This window comes from Homo sapiens, chromosome 4 (assembly GCF_000001405.40).
Source record: "Homo sapiens chromosome 4, GRCh38.p14 Primary Assembly".
Classification (NCBI taxonomy): domain Eukaryota; kingdom Metazoa; phylum Chordata; class Mammalia; order Primates; family Hominidae; genus Homo; species Homo sapiens.
The window spans coordinates 41,676,317-41,701,137 of NC_000004.12; the positions used below are offsets into that span (position 1 = coordinate 41,676,317).

The 24,821-nt window shown below is 38.8% G+C and overlaps 1 protein-coding gene and 1 long non-coding RNA gene across 55 annotated transcripts in view; one reads left to right on the plus strand and one right to left on the minus strand.

The window, feature by feature from the left end:
• LIMCH1 (LIM and calponin homology domains 1) overlaps positions 1-23,728 on the plus strand; it is a 340,438-nt gene extending 316,710 nt beyond the window's left edge. For 11 of the 54 annotated variants that reach the window (NM_001289124.2, XM_047449833.1, XM_006713996.2 and 8 more), the window contains 9 exons: positions 66-146; positions 3,690-3,782; positions 4,639-4,743; positions 6,017-6,144; positions 8,081-8,202; positions 9,394-9,514; positions 13,211-13,319; positions 15,966-16,068; positions 20,844-23,728. In NM_001289124.2, the coding sequence (NP_001276053.1) occupies positions 66-146; positions 3,690-3,782; positions 4,639-4,743; positions 6,017-6,144; positions 8,081-8,202; positions 9,394-9,514; positions 13,211-13,319; positions 15,966-16,068; positions 20,844-20,869 (888 nt within the window). In that variant the 3' untranslated portion in view covers positions 20,870-23,728. Of the gene's footprint in view, positions 1-62; positions 147-3,689; positions 3,783-4,638; positions 4,744-6,016; positions 6,145-8,080; positions 8,203-9,393; positions 9,515-11,523; positions 11,611-13,210; positions 13,320-15,965; positions 16,069-20,843 lie in introns of all 54 variants that reach the window. The other 43 variants (XM_011513642.2, XM_005248057.2, XM_011513653.2 and 40 more) reach the window with 8 other exon arrangements.
• On the minus strand, positions 7,762-16,481 carry LIMCH1-AS1 (LIMCH1 antisense RNA 1). Its single transcript, XR_002959789.2, has 3 exons — positions 16,226-16,481; positions 12,427-12,611; positions 7,762-7,844 (listed from the first exon to the last, which is right to left on the minus strand). It is a non-coding gene; the product is annotated as an LIMCH1 antisense RNA 1 (long non-coding RNA).
• Positions 23,729-24,821: the final 1,093 nt, after the last annotated feature.

Below are 24,821 nucleotides of genomic sequence, written 5' to 3' on the forward strand. Positions count from 1 at the left end.
CTTCACCCGGCCTGTCCCTTGAGGACATGGCTCAATTCTGATCATGGTTTCATTTTTCTAAGCAGTTTAAGTTCTGGGCATGGGACCCAGAAGAGGAGCGCAGGCGACAGGAAAAATGGCAACAGGAACAGGAACGTTTGCTCCAGGTAGGATGGAGTTTGCTGCTTTTTTTGTTTTTCCTTTTTTGTCCTCTTGCTTTCCATTGCATTAAATAGACTTTTAGCACAGGAAATGAATGGAATCAAGTTATTCTCGGAAGTTAGTGAGTCTCAAGTCAGTTCATTTTGTGTCCTTGTAACAGGGTACCCTGTGTCTCATTCTTCCTGCCAAAGACTGCAATAATAAACATGATGAAAAACCATTCATATTAACACTGAACCAAAAAACCCTCCAAGTATGGATAAGGGCCAGTCTACCCATTCATCACCTCCTTAGTTGCCAGTCAATTTCCAGTCAAGTAGCAGTGGGAATGAATTATCTAAAAGCTCTCTGCTAGCATACACGTGAAATAAAATTTAGCCTCAGTCTACTTTCTTAAATAGAAACTTTTGCTCTACCTTTGAGGGCTGGGCGTGGTGGCTCACGACTGTAATCCCAGCACTTTGGGAGGCCGATGTGAGTGCATCATCTGAGGTCAGGAGTTGGAGACCAGCCTGGCCAACATGACGAAACCCCGTCTCTACCAAAAATACAAAAATTAGCTGGGCATGGTGATGCACACCTGTAATTCCTGCTACTCGGGAGGTTGAGACAGAAGAATCGCTTGAACTCAGAAGGCAGAGGTTGCAGTGAGCTGAGATCATGCCACTGTACTCCAACCTAGACAACAGAGTGAGAATGTCTAAAAAAAAAAAAAGCCGATGTGAGTGGATCACCTGAGGTCAGGAGTTGGAGACTAGCCTGAGACCAACATGGAGAAACCCCATCTCTACTAAAAATACAAAATTAGCCGGGCGTGGTGTCACATGCCTGTAATCCCAGCTAGGGAGGCTGAGACAGGAGAATTGTTTGAACCCGTGAGGCGGAGGTTGCAGTGAGCCGAGATCACGCCATTGCACTCCAGCCTGGACGACAAAAACAAAACTCCATCTCAAAAAAAAGAAAAAAGAAAAGAAAAAGAAATGTTTGCTCTACCTTTGGGTAAAAGCTACTGATTATCAATTCTAGAAAAATTCTGATAGTAAGTTCATCATACTCCCACTTCATGCCAGTTTTATGGATTAACAGGGCTTCAAAAGGTAACCTAGCAACCTAAAGAACTAACCCATGTTGGGTACCTGGGATGTGCCAGGAACTGAGGTTAGTGCTTGACATTTTTACTTCATTTATCCTCAAACAGCACTTCAGAGTATGTCTTATTAGCCCTTGTTTGCAATTGAAGAAAGTAAAGTTCACTGAAATTAAGTTAATTGCCCAAGGTTACACAACTAATAGGTGTCAAGACCAGATTCAAATCCAAGTCTGGATGACTTTAAAACTCATGCTCCTTCTACTACATTCCCACTAGTACTGATTTTACAAAAATAAATAAATAAATAAATAAAGGAAAATAATGTTAAATCTCATTAATTTTGATGACTTTCTGCTGCTTGTAGAAAGCAATGCTTTTTTTGACGTTTGTTCATTTTTTAAATTATACTTCAAGTTCTGGGATACATGTGCAGAACGGGCAGGTTTGTTACATAGGTATACACGTGTCATGGTGGTTTGCTGCACCCACCAACCCGTCACCTACATTAGGTATTTCTCCTAATGCTATCCCTCCGCTAGCCCCCCAACCCCTGACAGGCCCCAGTGTGTGGTATTCCCCTCCCTGTGTCCATGTGTTCTCATTGTTCATCTCCCACTTATGAGTGAGAACATGCAGTGCGTAGAAAGCAATGCTTAATGCAAGTTTATTTTACTTACTTTTTCTTTTCTTTTTTTTTTTCCTAATCCTTTTGGCTTATTTCCCAGGGATGAGGTGGTAGACAGTGATTTAGATAGCAGTAGTAGGTGGTAGTGTGGTTTTGGCTCTGCCTGTTAAGTTTGGCATTTTGTAACTTGCAGAAGGTTAAGCCTTCAATACCAAACTGTTAGTAGGAACCCGATTCATCAAAATCTGGGGGCTACTGGGATTTGAGGTCCATTGTGAGACGTGCACCCCTGACCATCTGCTCGTCTCTGGGAGAGTTAGGTGCTCATTCCCCAGCTAAATGGTGAACAGCCAAGAGTCAGATTTCCACAAAGTGAAGTCAGGCAAATGTGCTCCTCACTGTGGTGCTCTATTACATGCCAAGGGGTGACCCTGGTAACAGAGGCGGGCACCAGGCCTTTGTATTGCTCCTGTGTTTCTAACTTGTTGCCTGGTATGGCATCGTGAGTTATGGGCCAAGGTGTTTGTAGGGGAGGGTGTGAGAGAGAGAGAGAGATCGTGTGTGTGTGTGTGTGAGTGAAATACTGCATCTTTCACTCTCTGCATCTCTGCATCATCAGTTCATCCTGTTGGTGAGGGGAACACGTGATGTAAGTTCCTAGAACCAAGAAGCCTAAGAAGCTTTACTTGTTTTCAGCTTTTATGTAGTTTTAAGGTCTCCTTCCTGTGCCCCTGAAGTCCCTCTCTAAAACTTTACAATACTTGGTTTTCGTAACAATTTTTACCAGGAAATAAAGAGCATGCCATGAGTTGATCAACAATGATTTTGTTAGAGTTAATAAGAACACCAGGCTCCAGAGAATGCCAAGAAAGTCCTCCTGCTCCTAAGATACCAATGAAACAGGTGATGCCTGGAGGAAATCTCAGTGGCTTCCCCATGAAGACAGAAGCAGACTTGTTTCAGCCTCGAAGAGAGGATTGACAATAGTCAGCCTAAAATATCTGAGTGCGTGAACCACACATAAATGGTTCCTTTGTCTCTGTCATGTCAGGATGCCATTCCCAAGGCATCAGGAGTGTCACTTCTCATTTTATGCATTAATTTTAATCCCCATTTATTCATTTCTTCTAATCAGCCATCAGGGACTCCAATCACATTTTAAACACCACTTTTATTCTTAGTGTGTTCTTTTTTCCCCCCAGAAATGGTGACTTCTGCTGCATTATTTCTGAAAACAAAAATGGCAGTTCTGAAGAAGTACTCTAATGGACTGTTTAAAAACTACTCTTAATTCAGAAGTTACTTAAAGCTAGGAAGACTCTATTTTGGTAGAATAGTCACAAGCAAAGAGTAATTCAGCTATTCAGCTAATTATCATCTTGTCCACGGTGGACCTTTCTGTATTGTGTGTCTAATAAACCTTCAGGGTTTTTCATCTTTTATTACACTCTCCTCGCAGCAATGCATTTCTATTAGTGGAATGGCAAAACTCATCTCCAAAGGGCCCAATAAAACCAAACTATTGGTTTAGCACACCTGGAACAAAACTGGAGTGAAGGAAGATTTTAGAGGCTTTCCACCTTTCCGTCTTTTCTCTTTCTGTAAGCAAAACATGAGCAGCAGAAAATACTGCTGTCCATTGGATTATGTTCCCAAAATGTTTGAGTGCCACAAAACCATATTCCCTTTTTATTGCATGAATCAATTAAATTCAGAATCCTAACAAGAAGAAGATAATCTTGCAACATATTGTACATGGTGGTTTAGGGGGGAAAATTCCCGATGACGTATGCAATGGTCAGTTGAGAACAATCTATGGAAATTCCATAACAGGAGAGATACCAGAAGGAGCAGGACAAGCTGAAAGAAGAGTGGGAAAAGGCCCAAAAGGAGGTGGAAGAGGAAGAACGCAGATACTATGAGGAGGTAGGAAATTCCCAAGAAGGAATTTGACCTTGTCATCCCAATTCCTCAAAGTCTAGCAACACTCTCTGTGTCTGTGGCATGCGGATGCATGTGGCTGTGTCTGACTCTTTACTGACAGCAGAATCCCATCAAGCTCTTTAAAACAGTCATGTCATTTAGGTTCTAAAAGACCACAATTCCTCACAAATACAGTTCGTGATAAGGGTGTGTTGAGTCACAGTCAAGGGAGACGATACAATTACATCTGTTCTCTAATCAGTGAGTCAGATTCTTGATTGATTTTAGAGAGGTGACATGAAATAATCAGTTCCATTCATTTGTGTGTTTGTTGTTTGGTAATAGTGAATTAATTTTATGAGGATAATTTTGATATTGAGGCTGAATGACTGCATTTACTATATAGCACTAAAGAGACTTGGAGGAGAAGAGAATTTTGTTTAGGTTCATTTTGTTTTTTAAATGAATAAGCCAGAACACATTAGATAACTTAAAGGGGGCTGCATTTTATGTATGTTATCTAAAGTTTGTTCATGATTAATATTGTGAATTTTATATTCAGCAATACTTTTTGTGCATAATCAGATCCCTAATAGCATTTCTAATTAGGCTTCTTGTATTACTCTAACTAATTAATTTGCAGAGTCTTTGTTTTTCAAAATTAAATGTTAATTTCTAAATTATTACCCATGGAGAGTGTTATATGATTTGCATGCTTTTGGAAAATAAGACTTTTTAAAATGCCCTGCTTGTTCGAACATATTCTGATTTTTTTCTAAAGTGCCTTAATGACATTTTTGTCTTGACAAATATGATTTTTATTTTCCCCCCTTTCATCGATTCCTGTCCTTCCCCTTAGGAGCGTAAGATAATTGAAGACACTGTGGTTCCATTTACTGTTTCTTCAAGTTCCGCTGACCAGCTGTCTACCTCTTCCTCCATGACTGAAGGCAGTGGGACAATGGTGAGACCACAGATTAAAAGCAATTTGTGAAATAAATAAACCTAAATGGAAGTACCAAACCCCAAGACCAAGGTTACCGAACAGACTCACTAGTTTAAATCCAAGACTAGCTATTCCCCTAGAATCACGTCAGCTACTGTGTGGCCATTGTACCCCATTGTTCTATCACTGCTGCAGCCAAATTCTAGAGTCATTTCCTGGGGAGTGGTAAAGTCATTACCCCAGCAAGATCTATCCCAGTAGTCTGGAAGCCAAAGTCTCTCCACACCTGGCTGGCAAGATCTCAATTAGTGAAGTCATATTGTGGAATATCCTTCTCACAGCCCAGTTGCCAGATCATTCATTCATTCAATATATATTTATTCCCCTCTGCCATACTATACATTCTTTTCCATTGTTTGGCAGTAGCAAAGATGTCAATAACATGTTCTCCACCAGCATCCATGAAAATTGCTTCTAACCCCCCCACATTCCACAAGACCTGTAGTCCCAGCTGCCTGGGAGGCTGAGGCAAAGGATCCCTTAAGCCAAGGAGGTAAAGGCTGCAGTGAACGTGATCTTGCCATTGCACCACTGTACTCCAGCCCGGGTGAGAGAACAAGACCCTATCTCTAAAGGAAATAATAATAATAAAAAAAACTAATGCATGCTGGGCTTAACACTCAGGTGATGGGTGCAGCAAACCACCATGGCACATGTTTATCTGTGTAACAAACCTGCACATCCTGCATATGTACCCCAAAACTTCAAGACAACAAATAAAAAAACCTAAATAAATAAATAAAATGAACTTACGTAGAACAGCACTAAAAACAAACAAAAATCCACAAGAAATTTACATGTTGTCTTTGAAGGCCAGAGAGAGCCTATAAAGTCTGGTCTGCCTCCACATTCCCCAAATAAGGTCATAGAAGATGGAAGTACAGGGCAGAAGTTATATCAAGACCTGGGTGGTCCATAATCCACGTAAAGGAAAATAACCTGTGGATACCAGAAAACCATTTGTCCTGAAATGAGCGGTCCTATGACTGTTTTATTTTGAAAGAGGGGTTTTCTAATCAATTCCCTTTTGTGATAACTTTCTAAAGAGATTCAGATTATACATTTATTCCAAATAGTTGGAAATCAGTTGCTATTCAGTTAATTTGGACAACTGTTCTTTAAATTATAGGTAACATGATTGAAAAATACTTCAAATATCCCTGGCCAGAGATAAGGGTTATACAGTGTTTTTAAAATTTATACTTAAGATTTTCATTGTTTTTCTCCTTAGAATAAGATAGACCTGGGAAACTGTCAAGATGAAAAACAAGACAGAAGATGGAAGAAATCATTCCAGGGAGATGACAGTGACTTATTGCTGAAGACTAGGGAAAGTGATCGACTGGAGGAGAAGGGCAGGTATGAGCCCATCCCAAGCCACCATGAAAATGTACAAAGCTGGGCTCTGCTCGTGCACGCTCAGGAAGGGTACTCATTGCTGATGCAAATTACATTCAGCTTCGAAATGAATGTTCCAGTAATACATTACATATTGTTTGGACATATTTTGTAATAGGTCTAAAATCAGTGCCCTTATCTTTTGAATATAAATAGCCTTATTTTTTTTCTTCTTCTTCTTTTTTTTTTTTTTGCTTGAGACGGAGTCTCACTCTATCTCAGGCTGGAGTGCCATGGTACGATCTTGGCTCACTGCAACTGCTACCTCCCAGGTTCAAGCGAGTCTCCTCCCTCAGCCTCCCAAGTAGCTGGGACTACAGGTGCGTGCCACCACGCCCAGCTAATTTTTGTATTTTTAGTAGAGATGGGGTTTCGTCATGTTGGTCAGGCTGGTCTCGAACTCCTGACCTCAGGTGATCCACCTGCCTCTACCTCCTGAAGTACTGGGATTACAGGTGTGAGCCACCATGCCTGGCCTAAATAGCCTTATTTTTAAATAGGCAAACTCTTTTTTAAACAAAGGGGGGCAGTATCAGTCTTCAAAAGCTGATTCAAAGCCCCAAACCTAAATATTACTCACTTGAAATGATGAATGTGTCTGGAGTGATAGAAATTGAAATGAGAACCTGGGGTCCCACCACTGTGGTTTCACTGTGGACCTGAAGTTGGCCATTATTATCCCCTGAGCTGTAAGAAATCATGTTTGCTCTGGTGATAATATAAAGCATAACCAACTAATTAACTGGTTATGGGTAGTCTCCCCACCCATGCTCTACTGTGTTCCATGGAAGATCAGAAAAGGACAGCTAGAGACCCCCTGGAGCGCTCAAAACTAGCTCATACTGGAGCAGACTCTGGTTGTGGCTGAGGGTTGTAATGGGTTTATTCATGCCACCCCACCCCATCCCTTACCTAGAAGGGACCCACAGAAAGCCCAAGAAGCTGGCAGTGCTCTGCCACCAACATGTTCTTCATGAGAAAGATGTTTTCCTCTGGGGCTCTGAGTTACCAGATAGGTATTGGCAAGAGTGCATGCATGTGCACACACACAGCATACCAGAGGGATCTGAGGCATGAAAGGCTAAGTGTCATTTTCAAAGACTGGCCAACTTGAAAGGTTGGCTGGGAGCAGAGCTTTCCTGGTGGGATTTTGCTCTGAGAATTCTCCTATGCTCATCAGCTAGAAGACTGGTTAAATTGTAAGCTACAGGTGCTCAGGGCTATGTCCAGAAACTGTAGAGCCCTTGGATGACTTTCCAGTTTAAACTCTTTAAAGGGACTTTTCAGTTTTATGCAATGAAAACCACTAGTCAGGAAGATCTGAATGATGCTGATAAGCTATTTACAAAATGTACAAAAAATGTAACTTTACAGAAAACCTTTGACCTTCATTTTTGCAATTTTTTGCATTTTTGCAATTTCTCCAGACAGGCATTTTACATGAATTTTAGCTAGTTCTCCAGGCGGTCCCTGTTTTCACCAGAAAAACTTTCCTTTTATCTCCTCCATCTGTTCATTCTTTGCACACAGAAGCCACTGAAAGGCCAGTGAGTTACCATGGTCTTCAAAGGTTCCATGTGGCTAAATTATTTTTACAGTAAGTGCTCTCTTGTGAACATCAGGTTAGCTCTGGCATTCCTTGAAATTATTAGAATGAAGACCTTTGTGGACAGAGAAGGCATCAGAAATGATAGTTTGTTGAGCTTGTTAAATGGGTGGATAATAGAAATTTGTAGTACTTTATCATTTTAAATCTATTTTAAAATAGAATAAATAAAGAGTCCCATCTCTTTTTTTATATTGTAATTGGTACTCCCATCCTTTAAGTTATAGGACCAAGAAGTTCGATTCAGTTACTTTTCTCTCTGCTCTGAAGTATACCTCTTTATTTTAACAGCCTAACTGAAGGGGCCTTGGCTCATTCTGGGAACCCTGTATCAAAAGGAGTCCATGAAGACCATCAGCTGGATACCGAGGCTGGGGCCCCACACTGTGGAACAAACCCACAGCTTGCTCAGGGTAAGAATGGAGAAGACCAGTTTCATTCAATGTTTAAATTGTTGTAAGACCCCCACATTGTCCAGAAAGCTATGATCTCTGCTGGCTGCAGGCTTCTCTCTAAGGGCCCTGGACTTCTAGCTTATGCCCAATATATAGTGAATAAACTTCTACCATCGTGTGCTCAGACTCTATAGGAACTTGCTGGGGACTCAGTGAGACCTGAGAGCGTGTTCGCACTTAAAAAAAAAATGTAACTTTACAGAAAACCTTTGACCTTCATAAGTAGTGCATTCTGAGACTTCCTCAAATTCCCAATTCCACCATTGGACATAATCTCCCCATAAAATGCTTATGGAGGAGTGGAATCCCCAAAGCCGGGTGAGATGTGGGTGCTGGAATGTTGGGAAGGTCCCATCGGTTCCCATTGCCATTTCACCCTCATTCCCACCTGTGTCTCCCACGCTCCTGGCTCACCATAGCAAAATTCAAATGTATTCCTCGCAAAAATGATCAAATTCTACATGCCGAGGGTCTTCAGGATCATTCCTAGATAACTGAAACTTCAAATGTTGAATGATATAAAGAGGAGGAGTGAGCTAAGAGGATGAAAGAATGACCCTGGTAAATGTTTTATTGCCAAAGCAAATCTGGCTGACCAAATAAATATTTTTTAATGGTGGAATTAACGAATTTTGCCTTAAATTTTTTAGCTTGTTGTCTATACACATATTTACCTGGGTTTGATTATAATACATAAGCATAGATTTGTGCGTGTTCCCAAATGGAGATATCCTGCAAGCTGAATACCATTCAGGTGCCCTATGGATTTAAACCACATCACAGTTGGTGTGATCCATGAGTCAGAGAAAGCAATGGGTGTTTACTGTGTTTTAGAAATGATGTTCCAGGTTATAATTGCATCCACCCAGATTTGCTTTCTTTCATGCATAAGAAGTCAGTATTTTAAAGTACTGTTTTATGACATCAGAAATCAGCGAGGGGAAAGGGCATGGTTCCTGACCTCCTTTGTTTCCAAAACTAAATCATGATGCAGTGATTTAAGTGGCCTCTCTAACCACCATGTGCCCATGACCTGCATGAAATCGCTATAAAACCTCAACAGGCATTAGCACTTTAAAGAAAGGTGACTTCCTAGGTAGTAAGGTGATTTTACTGTGCACTACATTTATGTTCTTTAATTGGCCTCAGATCCATCCCAGAATCAGCAGACATCAAATCCAACGCACAGTTCAGAAGATGTGAAGCCAAAAACCCTCCCGCTGGATAAAAGCATTAACCATCAGATCGAGTCTCCCAGTGAAAGGCGGAAGTGAGTAACCAGACACGATGGTTGTGGGATTCCCTTTTTTAAAAATTCATTTAGTTAGAAGGGAGAAGAATGAAAAATGTGAGATGGCAAGAGGACAGCAGCATTTTTGTGCTTTCTCTCCATTAAATCTCATTGACAAGGTAGTCAATATAAATGGAAGTTTGGGTCAGTCTTTCTGGCAAGTAAATATGTACTCTGAATTTATCAAGTTGTAATAGGCAAAGTTATGTTTTTAGCCCACAAATTTAAACATTGGAAAGCAGGTGCAGGCCTGTTGTGTTTGTAATTCATTTGAGTTAAATTGCCTCAGAGCCTGTGGACAAAGTTTCGTTCAAGGAAAAAAATGTTATTCTCTCATTATTATGCTCTCCTGTAAGGTAATTACCTGAGCTGTAATTTAATTTTGTAAGAAAGTATTTTTGACAATAATAGTTTCTATCGTGTTTGAACCATTTCAATATAATAGGCACTCTGTTGAAGAGTTTACATATATTTCTCTCCTTTTCATCCATTAACTCACTGAACCCTTCCAATAACTTAATGAGATTGTTCCTGCCATTTTACAGACAATAAAATTGAGGCTCAGGGAAGTTAAATAACTTATCCAAATTATTTAACTGATTAAGTAGTAGAGGAATTCAAAATGAACCCTCAGTTTCACGTAAGATCATATTTGAGCCAGAGATACCTTATAACCCAATGTTTAAAATGTTAACATTCATAGTACTGTAACCAATCATTCTACCTAGAGCCAGACTACCTCCATTCAGATTTTGACTCAGCCACTTGCCTACATTGGACCTTGAGCAAATTACTTAACCTTTCTCTGCCTCGTTTATAAAATGGGAATGACAATAGTCCCTACCTCATAGGGTTTTGTGCCTGGCTAATAGTAAGTGTAGGTGATGATGATGATAACTTGTTTTGTAAGAGAAAAATATTTATTGTCTTATTTTTCTTGTTACATTTTCCTTTTTCCCAGTGCAATATTTGAACCATTTCCTGTTTCTCTTATGTCTATCCAGTTTCATTTCTATTTGTCTGTATGACACTCAGAATCAATAGAAGCTAAAATTGGCTAGAAGTAATCACTATTGTTATTGATTATTGCAGTGATGTTTAATCTTTTTTAAAGCATTGGTACTTATACTTTAGGGTGTTACATGAAAATGTGATATTTGGAGAAGACAAGCATTCCCTGGCGAGGGAGGTTTGGGTGGGAAGCGGGATCAGGGAGTTATGCTGAAAGCGGAAGACACATGGACTCCCACGCTGTTCGCTTCTGTGCTGGTATTTTTCTTTCCCTTGTTCTTTTCTGTGTTCTACCCCTTTTCTTTACAAATGATATTAACTTTTAAAAGCAAGAGCCCAGAGCTGATGGCTTAATCACAGGCAGGGCTCACGTACAACCGTTCTAGTAGCTTCTAGCTGGGGGCTATTCTGACTTGTTGATGCCCACGACATATCAGTTGTTACATGTTTTGAACATGACCCTTCATCCCACGTATCCATAATGAATTTGTTGATAAGGGAAGTCACTGAAAATAGCTCCTTTAAGTTCTGCCCTTTATCTCTGGGCTCTCCTTGAAGATCTGCCCTGGATCCCTCCTCATCTTTCCCCTTCCACGGAGTCCATCGTTTTTATATCTAATTAGCATGCCAAAGCAGTTTGGCTAGCAACTTTTAAAAAACAACCTGGCAATTTTAGCGAATGAAGAAATTAACTAAAAATAAAGATTATAAAAAATTCTGTCTTTTCTGTTCAGCAATGCCAGCATGCCAGCCTGGTTTTGATTTTATGTAGCTAATACATGTACAATTCTTGCTAGACATTATTACTATTTTTGTTCATTAAAAAAAAAAATACTGCCAGGAAATGCTGTGGTCTTTGATTTGGTTGTCACAAAAGTTTTATTTTATTTTATTTTCCTAATCTAAAATGTCTTTTTTTAATGGAGTTTGGCTTCTCTTTGCTTGTCATAATTTTTGACTCCTTTACCACATTACAGGAAAAGTCCCCGAGAGCACTTCCAGGCTGGGCCTTTCTCTCCCTGTTCTCCCACCCCTCCCGGTCAGTCACCAAACAGGTACAAGAGGTCAGCAGGCCTTTCTGAGGCTGCTTTGTTATGACTAGAGCTTGCCAAGCATCATTTCAACTGAATTAGTGCTTGCCAAATGATTTTGAGGGATGTGTCCATCCACATCTCTTCCTACACACACACAGAGGCAAAAGGAAAGAGAACATTGTCCATCTGCCTGCAGATTTATCAGCTGCAATAGAAAAAGTCAGGCCTGTGACATTGGTGCCGCTATGGCCATAGGGCTTTAATTACATTGTGTGGAACCTCCAATCTAATAATAAAATCCACCAGACAACCGCTGGGCTCCAAAGCTGGCGCCTTTCCCTTCAAGAGGGCTAAGCCCTTCTAGGCGGGATCCACTGATGGCTCTTACAGAGAACCAGGAGGAGGCTGACAAACGAAACTTCATCCTTCTAACCTACTCCAGCTCTCTAATGATGACTTCTGGACATTAGCTGGGCCCCATGATATTTTTAAAAGCCGCCTGAATTCCCGTTCCCTGGAGAGACAAATTACTGAGTGCTCAGAGATTTTCTTTGATGTAGAAATTTCATTTAACTACTGGATAAGAGGGAAATCCTAATAAATAGCATTTGATTGGGGAACTCTTCCTCTTTTCTACTGTCTTCCTTTCTGTTTCTCCTGTCCCTCTGTATCCTGCTGGTTTTCAAATGATATTGCATATTTTTAAATTCCTTGTGTAATTCCAAGAGTTTCTCAGACATTTGGCATCATTGCAATGTGATCTTAGTTATATAAAAGCTGCCTTTCAGAGGACAGCTATCTAGTTTCAGATGGGTTGCTGAAGGTGTCCTCAAGGTATCCTCTCACCTGGTTTTGCTCTGCTGGTTTGGTTCCAGTCCATTGCTGGGCACTGTACTGGGTGCTGCAGGGGTACAGAGAGGAGGTAGATGCAGTCCTGCCCTCAAGAGGCTTCCAGTTTAGAGAGAAGGCAAGTGCCTTCATTCACAGAGTGTTTGCACTGGAAGAAATTGTAGAGATAATCTGGTCCAATCCTTTCATATTAAAAGGTGAAAGAGAAACCCAGAGTTAGTTTATTACACCAGATCAGAGAACTTGGCGACAGAGCAGACATTAGATCTCACCTCTCCGGGCCCTCTGTCTAGTCTGCTGTATCACAGGTGATTATTTCCAAACAAAAATGTTGTTTTCTTAATAAGTAAAAAGAAATGCTATAGTGGACCAGTGAACCACTTATGGGAAATTTAAAAGCAATATTGAAACCCCAGGAAAGCGAAACTCAGTTATCTTTTAGGACTTATAAAAAAAAGTATGATAAATATATTGAATCATGTTGAGGCATTTGAATAGACTACAACACAAACTTCTTGAAACAAATAACCTAATAACTTAAACACACGCACCAGATTCAGTACCACAGTGGAGACCCAGTATATTTAGTCTGGCAGTTGTTTGCCATTTATATCTAATGTTTAATCTCCTATTCATCATCAGTTCTGTCATTCTCATTTCATTCATGATATAGGCATCTTAAAAATCCATATTTTCATTTTTGCATGAGGTTACATGTCTGTGTGTTTGACCAGGTATTCTAAACTGAAGTTTTTATTCTTATGTATATTTTTAAACCTAGGTCTATAAGTGGAAAGAAGCTGTGCTCTTCCTGTGGGCTTCCTTTGGGTAAAGGAGCTGCAATGATCATCGAGACCCTCAATCTCTATTTTCACATCCAGTGTTTCAGGGTACGTACTTACTGCTTTGCTCTCCAGACACAACTTCATGATGTCTTTTGGCATCGTTCCGTGCTGAAAAATGCCTCTTGGAAATTCTGGAGGGCTTTGTCTGTGAGGTCTCACTGTCTAGGTTGTATAGACATTCCTTCAGAATGAAACTCACCTATCACGAATCCCTCTGGGATGTCAGATTAGAAGAAGCAGAAAGGTTTGTGCAATTTGTCCTTACAAAACAGTTTTTGTTGCTAAAGAACATATACTCCAGCAGGAGGCTGAGAATGGGATGCTGGGGAGGATGATGCTCTTCCAAATCTTTTAGGGCCATGTGGATTTATTTGGAATGTAATGTCTATGCTGTTTCTTAAACTCTTATGACTTAATGTGAAAGGGTTTTAGTCTTTGACCTAGTGGAAAATTGTCTGTCAATTAAGTGGCTAGTTAGAAAATTGTAGGTCTCAGAATGAATATGTCTGTAATCTTAGATTAAATATCACTCCCTCAAAAAAGCTGCCCTGCCCACCCAGACTAAGTTATCTTTGTTATAGGTCCTTATAGAACCTTTCTTGGTCCTTATTACTGATTATTGGATTATTTAAATATTATCTCCTCTAATAAACTCCGTAAGGGCAGGGACCATGTCTGTCTTGGTTACCATTCTTTCCTCTCTACCTAGCAGAGTAGGTGTCAATAAATATTTTTACGTGAATGAATTAGTGAATAAACTGAAAATGAGGAGTTCTAGATTCTAGTCCCAGATCTCTTGGTAATAAGTAGGTGAGTTAACCAGTTATACCTGATTTATTATGAAATTTATAAGCTGGACTATATCAGCATATCCTGTATTTTCCACTCATGGACACATTTCAAAATAATATATAATTTTTGAAGGCGAACCCTCTGTCTCTAAGGAGGAGTAATTTCTTGGTCTGCATAATCCTAACATACTTTCTTTTCCCTTCTTGGATTTTCTTTTATTTCTTGTTGGTAGTTTCCTTGGCTATGAAGTAAATTTGCCTGGGTTTAAAATAACTCCCACTTTGCCTATAAGCTAAGAGAAAGTCAGTGAAGTTGTCCCCAAATTACTAATTTAATAATAACAGTAATCACTTGAAAGCAAGATTTATCATAGACAAAACACAGCATAGATACTTATTTTAGATTTCATTTATCAAAAGTATTAGAATGAGACCAGAGTTTCCTAAGTTTTATTTTATTTCTATAGAGAACCATTCCACAAAGGACAAGCAAAAATATTCTCGTTGTAAAGATTAACCTAGATAATGTATGTCCTAAATGGTCTAGGGATGTTTTGAGGCTCAAGGAATATGCTTTTTAAGATTTGTAGTTATGCCAAGATAATATGCATTCTGAGAACACTGCATTCTGTTCTCAGAAACTTTATGAGGACTAGAAATAAGCAAGGTGGTAAGGGCTCTTTGCAGATTCTCAAGGGTCAGGAGACTTGCCTTCTTAACTCTCAAGGCCTTTATTCACTCTAATCATTCACTTCCTGGAGCTGGCCTGATGCTTTAAGGTACATCCCCTCTTGGATTTATTCCCCACTCTTGCAATGTAGAGGCAGCTTATGACATAATTTGGATTAAGCCTCACTCTGTCCCAGGTCACCTTAGAGCATGAATTAGGGGCTAGATCCTGGTCCCCCTGCAAGAGGCTGGCACCCACACCAACTTCCACTGCCTTTCTACCCTTCTGGTACAAACATCCAAGTATATCCTACAGTCTCTTTCTGCACTCAGCCTGTGTTGGTGGAAATTCCCAGTGGATTTGTTGCTCTGAATATCACTGCTTTTAATGTGGAAATATAAAATGGAACAGCAGGCTGGGCACGGTGGCTCATGCCTGTAATCCCAGCACTTTGGGAGGCCAAGGTGGGCAGATAACCTGAGGTCAGAAGTTCGAGACCAGCCTGGCCAACATGGTGAAACTCCATCTTTACTAAAAATACAAAAAAAAAAAAAAAAAAAAAATAGCCAGGCGTGGTGGCACACGCCTGTAATCCCATCTACTCAGGAGGCTGAGGCAGGAGAATTGCTTGAGCCCAGGAAGTGGAGGTTGCAGTGAGCTGAGATCATGCCATTGCACTCCAGCCTGGCCTACAGAGCGAGACACTGTCTTAAAAAATAAATAAAATAAACAAATGGAACAGGTACTTCCTAGAAATTTTGATCTGGTAGAACTTAGCAACGATGCTGGCAAGCCTTTAAAGATTATTGATGGACACATTTCAATTGATAACTCATTGGCCATGTGTTTATTTAAAGCCACTAGGGTTTAATGTGTTTAAAATGGTTCTTCCATTTTGATTGAGAAACGGTGTATGATAGAGGTTAAGACGCTAGGCTTTGGAGTCAACCTGCTACCACTTATCAGCTCCACAACCTAGGAACAAGCCAACAAACCTCACTGAACCAGTGTCCTTCTCTGTAAAATGCAAGGAATTAAGCTAAAATTGCTAACTGTATATTTGCTTTTGCTGTAAGTTGACACTGGTGCAGCATCTTACACATAATAGATGCTCCACAAATGTGGTGATTGTAGAAGGGATTATTGTGCTATTCACATAAACAGTAACTAAGCATTAGAAAGAAACAATTCCTTATGCATCTTATGATGTCTGTTCTTTTTACCCTATAGTGTGGAATTTGTAAAGGCCAGCTTGGAGATGCAGTGAGTGGGACGGATGTTAGGATTCGAAATGGTCTCCTGAACTGTAATGATTGCTACATGCGATCCAGAAGTAAGTACTGGGGAGAATGCCTCATGATGACCGAGTGTAATCGTATGTCTTCCATAGGACCCAATTTAGGAATTCAAATATTTTTCCCCAGCCGTTGACACTCTAATCTGAGAGAAAGGTTTCTTAACATCTAGGTTAAAAAAGAAAAGATATTTACCACTCGTTTCTTCCTGGAAGTTATTGCTACAATGTGGACCAATTCTTTTTATCCTGAAGTGCATCAGCACACCAGCAGGTCAAAACATTGCCTGAGCTCACTACAGAGATTTTGGTGTGATAGAAAGGAGATATAAGGTCTGTCAAACACTGTCACTTGTTCAGGCATGTCTTTAGACGACTGGCACCATTTGGGGATGGTTAAATGTGGAGAGCGGCTCTCCACTGTTTCTCAGATCGAGCACCAACTCATCAATGTCTCCACGCCCTACATTCAGGAGTTTCATTACGTCATATGTGTTCCCAACTGAATGGAAAGTTCCTTGAGAGACAACAATGAGGGTTCCACTTCTCTGTGGATTCTTCCCCACCTCCCACCTCTACAATATCTTAGTAACAATATGCGCTTAACAAATTATTTGCTGCCTTAGTAAGTGAGAAGCCTGCTTGCTTTCCCGTCTTGCATCCGGGCCTCCTACTGTGGAAGGTGCATGTTAGTTTGCGGGGCAGCAGGGGGTGCTGTTGCCTAGCCGCTGTTTAGAAAATCTGAAAATGGCCAGTGGCTTGCCTCGGAATGTTTCCTCATTCTCCATCATGAGTACAGTCCTTCTGGTGGGTCACCTAGACAGCAGAAGACCTTTTAGTGCAGATTCATCAGTCAGAAACTCTTTTAAAAAATTGGAGTGAAGATAGGGAGTGTGAAATTCAAGAATGACTATTTCTCAAAGTGAAGTCACGTTTTTACTGCCTTTTTACATGGATCTCAAATCTCTGCAAGACTGAAAACTTTGAGAATAAAAATTGAAGGTAATTTGTTTTATAGCTATAGATTTAGTAAATTCAGTTAAATATGCCTATTAATAAAATGGGAAATAAAAATTTAATCAAACCCAGGTAGTTTAGATTTATAATAAATATTTGACTTGAGATCAAAACAGTTCCAACTTAGAGCCGCTGCTATCAAACTGGACTATTTAGATCATGCATGATATTAGTTTTTATACTATGTATTTTATATATTAAATTATATAAATAGTATACCATATATCATAAATATATACACACAAATTAACATATATAGTACATGTATAATAGGTAATAATTATATACATTTTATTTAAACTGGACTTTTGCTTTTATATGCTAACAAGGAAAACAACTCTTTTCTCCCAGATTTCAATGCGAATTTTCCTATCGTCTTCTATAAATTATTCTTTTTCTCTACCTCAGTGAACCACAGTGAATGTAATTTATGGAACCAGAAGAGGGCACTGTTAGGTTGAAGGACTGCTCAGAAAGATTTGAAAAGTGCTGTAGATCTGAGTTTGTTTAATAATTTAAAGTGCTTGAAGGATGCCAACAGAACAACCTGAACCCCCCTCTGGGTGACAGTGACCTCTTTTCATCTAGATTTTTTTAAATTGAGAGGTTGGGTGATTCTTTGTCATTTCTTTTGGAAATTAGCTTTTTAATTCAAGACCAGGAATTTTTCTCTTAAATATACAAATATAAAGGGCATTAACTGCTTTTAATTTCAAAACCATGGAGTTCCTGTAATCAGCTGAAAAATAAGAAAGTGATTTGGAGGTAGGCCACAAAAATGATTTTTTCTTTATTTTATATGTGAAATGCAGTGTTTTACCAGGATTTACCATAGAAAACAAGGCCCATTGTTTTCTCTGCTTCTATAGACATTCAATGAATAAATAAAAGTTACAGATGCTATAATGTTAGAAAAATTGAATTGTTCAGAAAGACACCACATTAAAAGGGCAGATCTCCATTGTAATCACCTTCCAATAATTTCTTGGGGTAGGGGCAGAATATATGTTTGTACATGTGTATGCACACACTTGCACACATGTACACACAGAGATACATATAAGTATGATGTATCTACCTGGATTTGTGTTGGTTTTTATTTCACATAGGTGATGATCATATAGTCATGGTGTTCTGTACTTGGTTTTTGTTGCTGTCATTTTGAACTTAATGATATATCTTGGTAACTTTTCCAGATAACATGTTGTGTCTCCTTTTTCTTTTTAATGACTTTTAAATAGCGGCATACAATCCCATTGTGTGGACTTATAATTTAAAACTAATTCTCTATGAATGGACACTTTGGTGGTTTCCCATTTTTTAATATTATTTTTAAATGAACATCCTTGTGCATATATCTTGGTGAATATTTCAGAGCATCTCCATAGGATAGATTCTGAGCAGTAGCACAGGTGACGTAAAAGGCATGTGCTTTTTAAATTTTCAGACATCTTGCTTAATTATCATTCAGAAAAGTGCACTCTCCCTGCAAAATGTATGAGAGACCCCCTTTATTTCCTCCAAGCCTGTATCAGCTCTGGATATCATCAAACATTAAAAATTTCCACTCTGCTTGGTGGGGGAAAAAATCTCATTGCTTTGATCTGTATTTCCATAATTATGGGTTTGAACATCTTTTCATATGTTTACTCACTATTTATATTTCCTTTTCTGTAAAGTGCTTCCCTAGCCTTTGCCCATTCTTCTATTTGGCACCTGATTTGTATGAGTTCTTTGCAAATTAAAGAAATTTGCCATTTGTTATATTTGCCGCATATTGTGGTTATTAGTTTTCCCACTCTGTGATTTATTTTCATACAAAAGATTTTCATTTTATGTAATTAAATATATATATTTAATACATATAAAAGAAATATATGTTTCTTTTTTGGATTATAGGTTTCTTAGGAAAACTCTCATTTAAAGTGTATAAATAAATTTAGCTGAGATTTCTTCTAGAATTGTTTTTTTTTTTCTCCTTCACATGTAAATATGTCATAAGCAGGATTGTATTTGGGGGTAAAAAATGAGGTAGCTATCTGGCCTGATTTTTTTTCCAGTTAGCCACTTGTATGAATATCACTGAATGAATAACCCCTCTTTTTCTCACTAATTTGAAATGCCAGCTTTCTCATAAACTAAGTTCCCATATATATTTAGGTCTATTTCTGGATATTTTATTATGTTTTATTAACCTATTTATTCTCCATTACTGAATGTTTTTAATTATTGTAGCTTCATAATATGTTTTAATATTGGGTAATAAGGGTCACCTTCTTTCCAATTATTTTTTTCCAAAATTTTCCTAACTCTTCTCCCATGTTCATTTTTCCAGATAACATTAATATCTTTAGGCTAATTTCAATTAAGTTAACTCATGACAGAGAGAATGACCAGCACATCTGAGAATACTGTTTAATTCTTTGCTGATGTCCTAAGAAATAAATATACCTTAGGAATGAATAGGTAGAGGGGATTATAATTTGGATTGAGAAGTATAAATATGCTTGTATTGGTCAAATATATCCAAGATGCAATAAAAGAGTCAGAATGGGAAAAAAAAAGGCTAAAAACCATTTTTCTTTCTTTTTTAAAATTTGATTTAAATTGAGAAGAGTGGAGATGGATAGATGTGAAGGGTGGTTTACGTCATAGGCATTCTAAGTGAAACAAAATAATTTCATTTTGTGGAATAATAAAACCTGAATATATAATCCTATTTTCTCCAAGTAACTAGTCACATTTAAATGAAATTTTTCTCTTGAAGGGAAAAATAGCATACCAGCATATTAAAATGCAACTCCTAAAAGCAATGTAAACAGTTTTTAAGTTCATATGTAAATGGAAATGGACGTGCAAAACAAATTACCTGTCATACATCAAGCCGTCACATGTTTAACTTGTGCCATTTGTGCTTGGGTGTTGGATGACTGTGTCTTTGTACATGGTGTTCTGTTCCATCATTCACTCTTGTGAAACGCATTTAATGCAAACTCCCTGGGGTCTTTTCAAATGTTGCAATTGCCTCATCACAACTGTAGTGCCTAAAAAGGAGAAATCCTGTGAAGGTTTCAGCAGAAAATATGGAACCCAAACAATCCTTTCTAGATAGGTTTACCAGATAAAATATAAGATACCTAGTGGAATTTTTTTAAACCAAGTTAAAGTTGAATTTCACATAAACAATACATTTTTTAAGTCTGTGTATGTCCCAAATATTGCATGCTCTGGATTTAACATAAGTATGTCCCAAATATCATATGGATATGCTTATACTGAAAAATTCTGTGTCGTTTATCTGAAATTATACTGTACTGGGTATTGCGTATTTATACTTGCTGAATCTAGCAATCTAATTTCTAGATCATATGTCAAATTCCTCATATTACAATGTACTTATTCTTAGAGAAATCAAAACCTAAGGAAACTGAGAGAAAAGAGATTATTTTCTTGCTTATTTGCCCCAGAGGACAAGGTAGAAAACTTGATGGAGATGCTTTGGTTTAGGGGCAATCCAGAGCATTTGATCAAACTTCACAGTGCATGTGAATCACCTGGGCACCACGTTAAGTGGGTCTGGAATGCGGCTTAAGAGCCCGGATTTCAAACAGACTCCAGGTGATGCCAGTACTACTTGTCCTGGGGCCACACTTCAAGTAGCAGGATGGGAGAAGTTTCTGGTCCCCAGGAAGAGGAGACTTTGGTAAAGGCAGTTGCTCATTAGGGAGGTTTTAAAATGTCTGAAGCGAGAAATGTTGCCTACCACTCTTGTTTGTTGTTGTTTGTTTTAATCACAGGTGCCGGGCAGCCTACAACATTGTGACACGGCTTTCAAGCTTCCGGATCACTCACCATTTCTTTACTGAGAGTGTCCCCTGGCAACTGCTTAACAAAATCCCAAGCTCAGGGGCTTCTCAGCATTTACCTAATTTCTGAAAGGCTCTTCTGAAAGGTGGTATCTGTTCTTTCGTAGCACAGTGTTTATGTTTTTCCTGTTTATTGTTTTGGTTTTTTTTTTTTTTTTGCATTTGCACAGTATACACAAAAGAATATGGGGTTGTAATGATCCTGAATAGCTCAAAAAAGGTTTTAGCATGGTCAAACAGGCTTATGGTTTAAAATGTGTTATTCTCTTCTTTGGGAATTAGCTAAATGATGCAATAAACCTGTTTTGTTTTAGAATGTCTAGGAATTAAACACTTTATGTTTACAGAATTGAGCTGCAGAAAGTGCAAGACATGCCAATTTGAGACACACGGTCTTCTAAGACTGAAGGATAAATTTAATGCATTTCAGAAACTAAACATCACAGCAAGCTCTATCTCTGAGCTATAATTTGTTTTTAATGCAAAGACACTAGTTTGATAATATATACTGTAATCCTGAAACATTTGTGTTACTTACCTTTGGAGGTAGAAATTATACCAATAAATTATTGCACCGTTAGTATTAGATTCTGTGTACCTTGGAAGTTATGTCATTAATATAGGCTGGTTCATCAAATAAAGCAAAACCTTGCAATATCAGCTAGATTTACACTCCGGGACGTTGCCCAAAGGTAGGAAGAAAGCAGAGGGAAATATTTCAGTCATCATTTCCAAAGTCATTATCAAAATCTGTGAGGAAGTTTAATCTTCCAAAGAGTCAATGTCAGACATCAGGCCTCTGTTGCCTGCTTCTCTCGAGGCACTAGATTAGGAGTCTTCAATAAGAGACTTAACATGAGGTATATGGAAGATGAGGCACCGAGATAAGTTCATCATTAGGTGTGAGCACTGCTCACCCTTGCTGGCAAGTTCTCCTTAAGGGCCTGAAGCACAGGTGTCCAAAGAAAAGCGTTAAGTCCATCTTAATAGAATCTATGTGGTATATGATGTGGTCAGCCCCTGGTCTGTGATCAGCAAGAACCTACAGCACAGATTATGCCCTGCCCACTTCAATGAATACCTACTCTCCTCCATTCTCCATCACTTTTTTTGCTATCAAGAACTCCGGACCTTGCCCATGGAGAAGTTTAGAGAGGAACTCTTGTGGAGAGCTGGTTTATTTTCTGCCCTGTGCGACGAGTTTCAGCTGGCCAAGAAAGGAGTCAAGTTATTAAAAAGCATCACAATGTAGATCTCCAGGCTGGTTTTTTGTTTTTTGTTGTTAAGACTGGGGAAAGGGGGACTATTTATTCTGCCTTAAATCAATGGCAAATAAGTCAAGATGACATTTTGTGAATGTAGACTATGGATACACTCCTAATAGATTGATGTAGTCATAAAAGGGGGTCAAGTAGATGTTTTTCTGTTATGTAAGCAATAATTTTTCCGTGTCTTATTGAGTATGGCTAGCGATTATTTATTACATGCTAGATGGGTTCTTTGCATGTGGGTTCCATATAGGTGCAGAAATTTCCTCAGCCACTGGAGGGATTTCGACCATATTTGTCATTTGGATGAGCTGTTATTAGATTGAAATCTACACATCATTTCATTAAAAATTGTGCCTTAGAAAACGCAAAGCTGTTGCACATGGCGATAAATTATGGATGCAGTACATTGAAGAGAGATGAAGTCACTTCCAAGTTTCCAAGACTTCTCATGGAGGTGTTTGCTGTTTTACAGGAAAAAATAAAAATAAAAAAAGAAAAAAAGAAAAAATTAAAAAGAAAAATTGTTTTGAAAATGTACAGATCAAGTCCAATATTTTGATTATCCACCTGCATGTTTTATTAAATATTTTGATAATGTGGATGTTTACACTTTGCATGATATTAGCAGAGTACCACTAGTAATGCACAAACATGTACAATATGGTCATTCATAACCGATTTTTATAGAATACTTTTTACATGTGCAACTCCATCCGTTATGTAAGGATTACATGAATATTGCACATTCCCTTCTGGTTTCACAAACCCATTTATACATATTTCTTAGTGAGGCTCATTGTACATGTATTGAAGCTAGAATCGAGTCAAGAAAAATAAAGCCCCATTCTCCAACTGCAAAATGTGCTTTCCCATAATGAACACTAGTCACCAGCACAGAATAATCTCCAACATTTTCTAAATTCTAATTGCCAACTGTTTCTATTTATATTTGATTTATATTTCATTTGGAGTCTGTTACATGGCAGCTTAGGCAGACTAGATCTTGTTTTTTCCAATGCAGCATAATGAGTATGATCTATTTCTTTTCAAATAATCTTTGAGATCCCAGGAAAAAAAAAATGCTCTGCTCCATTGAGCTATAATGTAAATGTGTTTGTTTAAAAAACAGGTGAGGCAAGTGAGTGATTTATTGTTCCTGAGGAAGTATATCTGATTTTTTTTCTCATACTCCAAAAGCTAGTCCCTACTCTTTAATAAAAATAATGGGTAACTTTTTGTTTTTCACTAGCGAACTTCCATGACATTTCCTTTCTATGTAGTGTGATTAATGCAATACATATTATAGTTATCTATACACAGTGTAAGATTTAACAAACTGAAATGATCCACCTCATATGTGAGTCCGTCCAAAAGATGTTACTGCTCTGGGTGGGCCAGTGTTCTATATCGGTTATACTAACTTTCATTTAAAGTATTTATTCTAAAATGCCTCTGAGAAACAGTAAAAAATAAAAACAACAAGTTGTCTAAAATGCAACAGCTTTTATAGTAAATGTACATTTATAAATAAAATACTCAAATCAACTTTGTATTCCATTAATTATTTTTGGAGGGGTGGCAGTTGGTTTTCTTACATGGGGAAGAGAGACTCAAGCTTTCTCTTGTAGCTTTTGGTCCAGGGTTACATAGACAGATGATGGCAGTGCTGGATGTTTGCATGTACCTATTGATGCATAGTTGAGGTCAACTATTGAAGGCAAACCAAACTTACTGGCTGGTTTAGGGGTCACTGAGGAATTGCCTTCTATAGAAGGGTTTAAGCTCCTGGAGATGAGACACACAATAACCAGCAGAGGCCATGCAAATGCCAGTGAAACTCGTCTGAAACAACCAAATGATGGTCAGCTTGCAGCACTGGCTAGACAAAAAGCAAGGCAAACTTTTTTTTTCTTTTTCTTTTTTTTTTTTTGAGACAGGGTCTCACTCTGTTGCCCAGAATGGAGTGCAGTGGTGCAATCTCAGCTCACTGCAGCCTCGACCTCCTGGGCTCAGGTGATTCTCCCACTTCAGCTTCCCAAGTAGCTGGGATTACAGGCATGTGCCACCACACCCAGCTAGTTTTTTGTATTTTCACTAGAGACGGGTTTCTCCATGTTGCCCACGCTGGTCTTGAACTCCTGGGCTCAAGCAGTCCACCCGCGTCCATCTCTCAAAGTGCTGGGATTACAGGCATGAGCTACCGCACCCAGCCAAGGCAAACTTTTTGAAGTCCCTGTATTCTGCCACTTTCCCCAGCACTACCCCAATGTTCCCCACTTATTATATATGTAAGGTGTGTTTACTAAGGGCCTTTTCCTCAGGTGTGGAGCCAGGGAATCTGCTGTGAATCAGTAGCATCCTGCTGACACTGTTGGCTCTCTGAAGTATACACGTATTCTGCCTTGCACTCTGTTCCAAATTTGAAGGTGGTGGCAATACTAAGCAAATCCCCTGAAATTTTCAATTGTTTTAACATGTGATACTTTTTTTTTTTTTTTTGATGAAGTTTTGCTCTTGTTGCCCAGGCTGGAGTACAGTGGCGTGATCTCAGCTCGCTGCAACCTCCGCCTCCCAGGTTCAAGCAATTCTCCTGCCTCAGCCTCCCGAGTAGCTGAGATTACAGCCGGCCGCCACCATG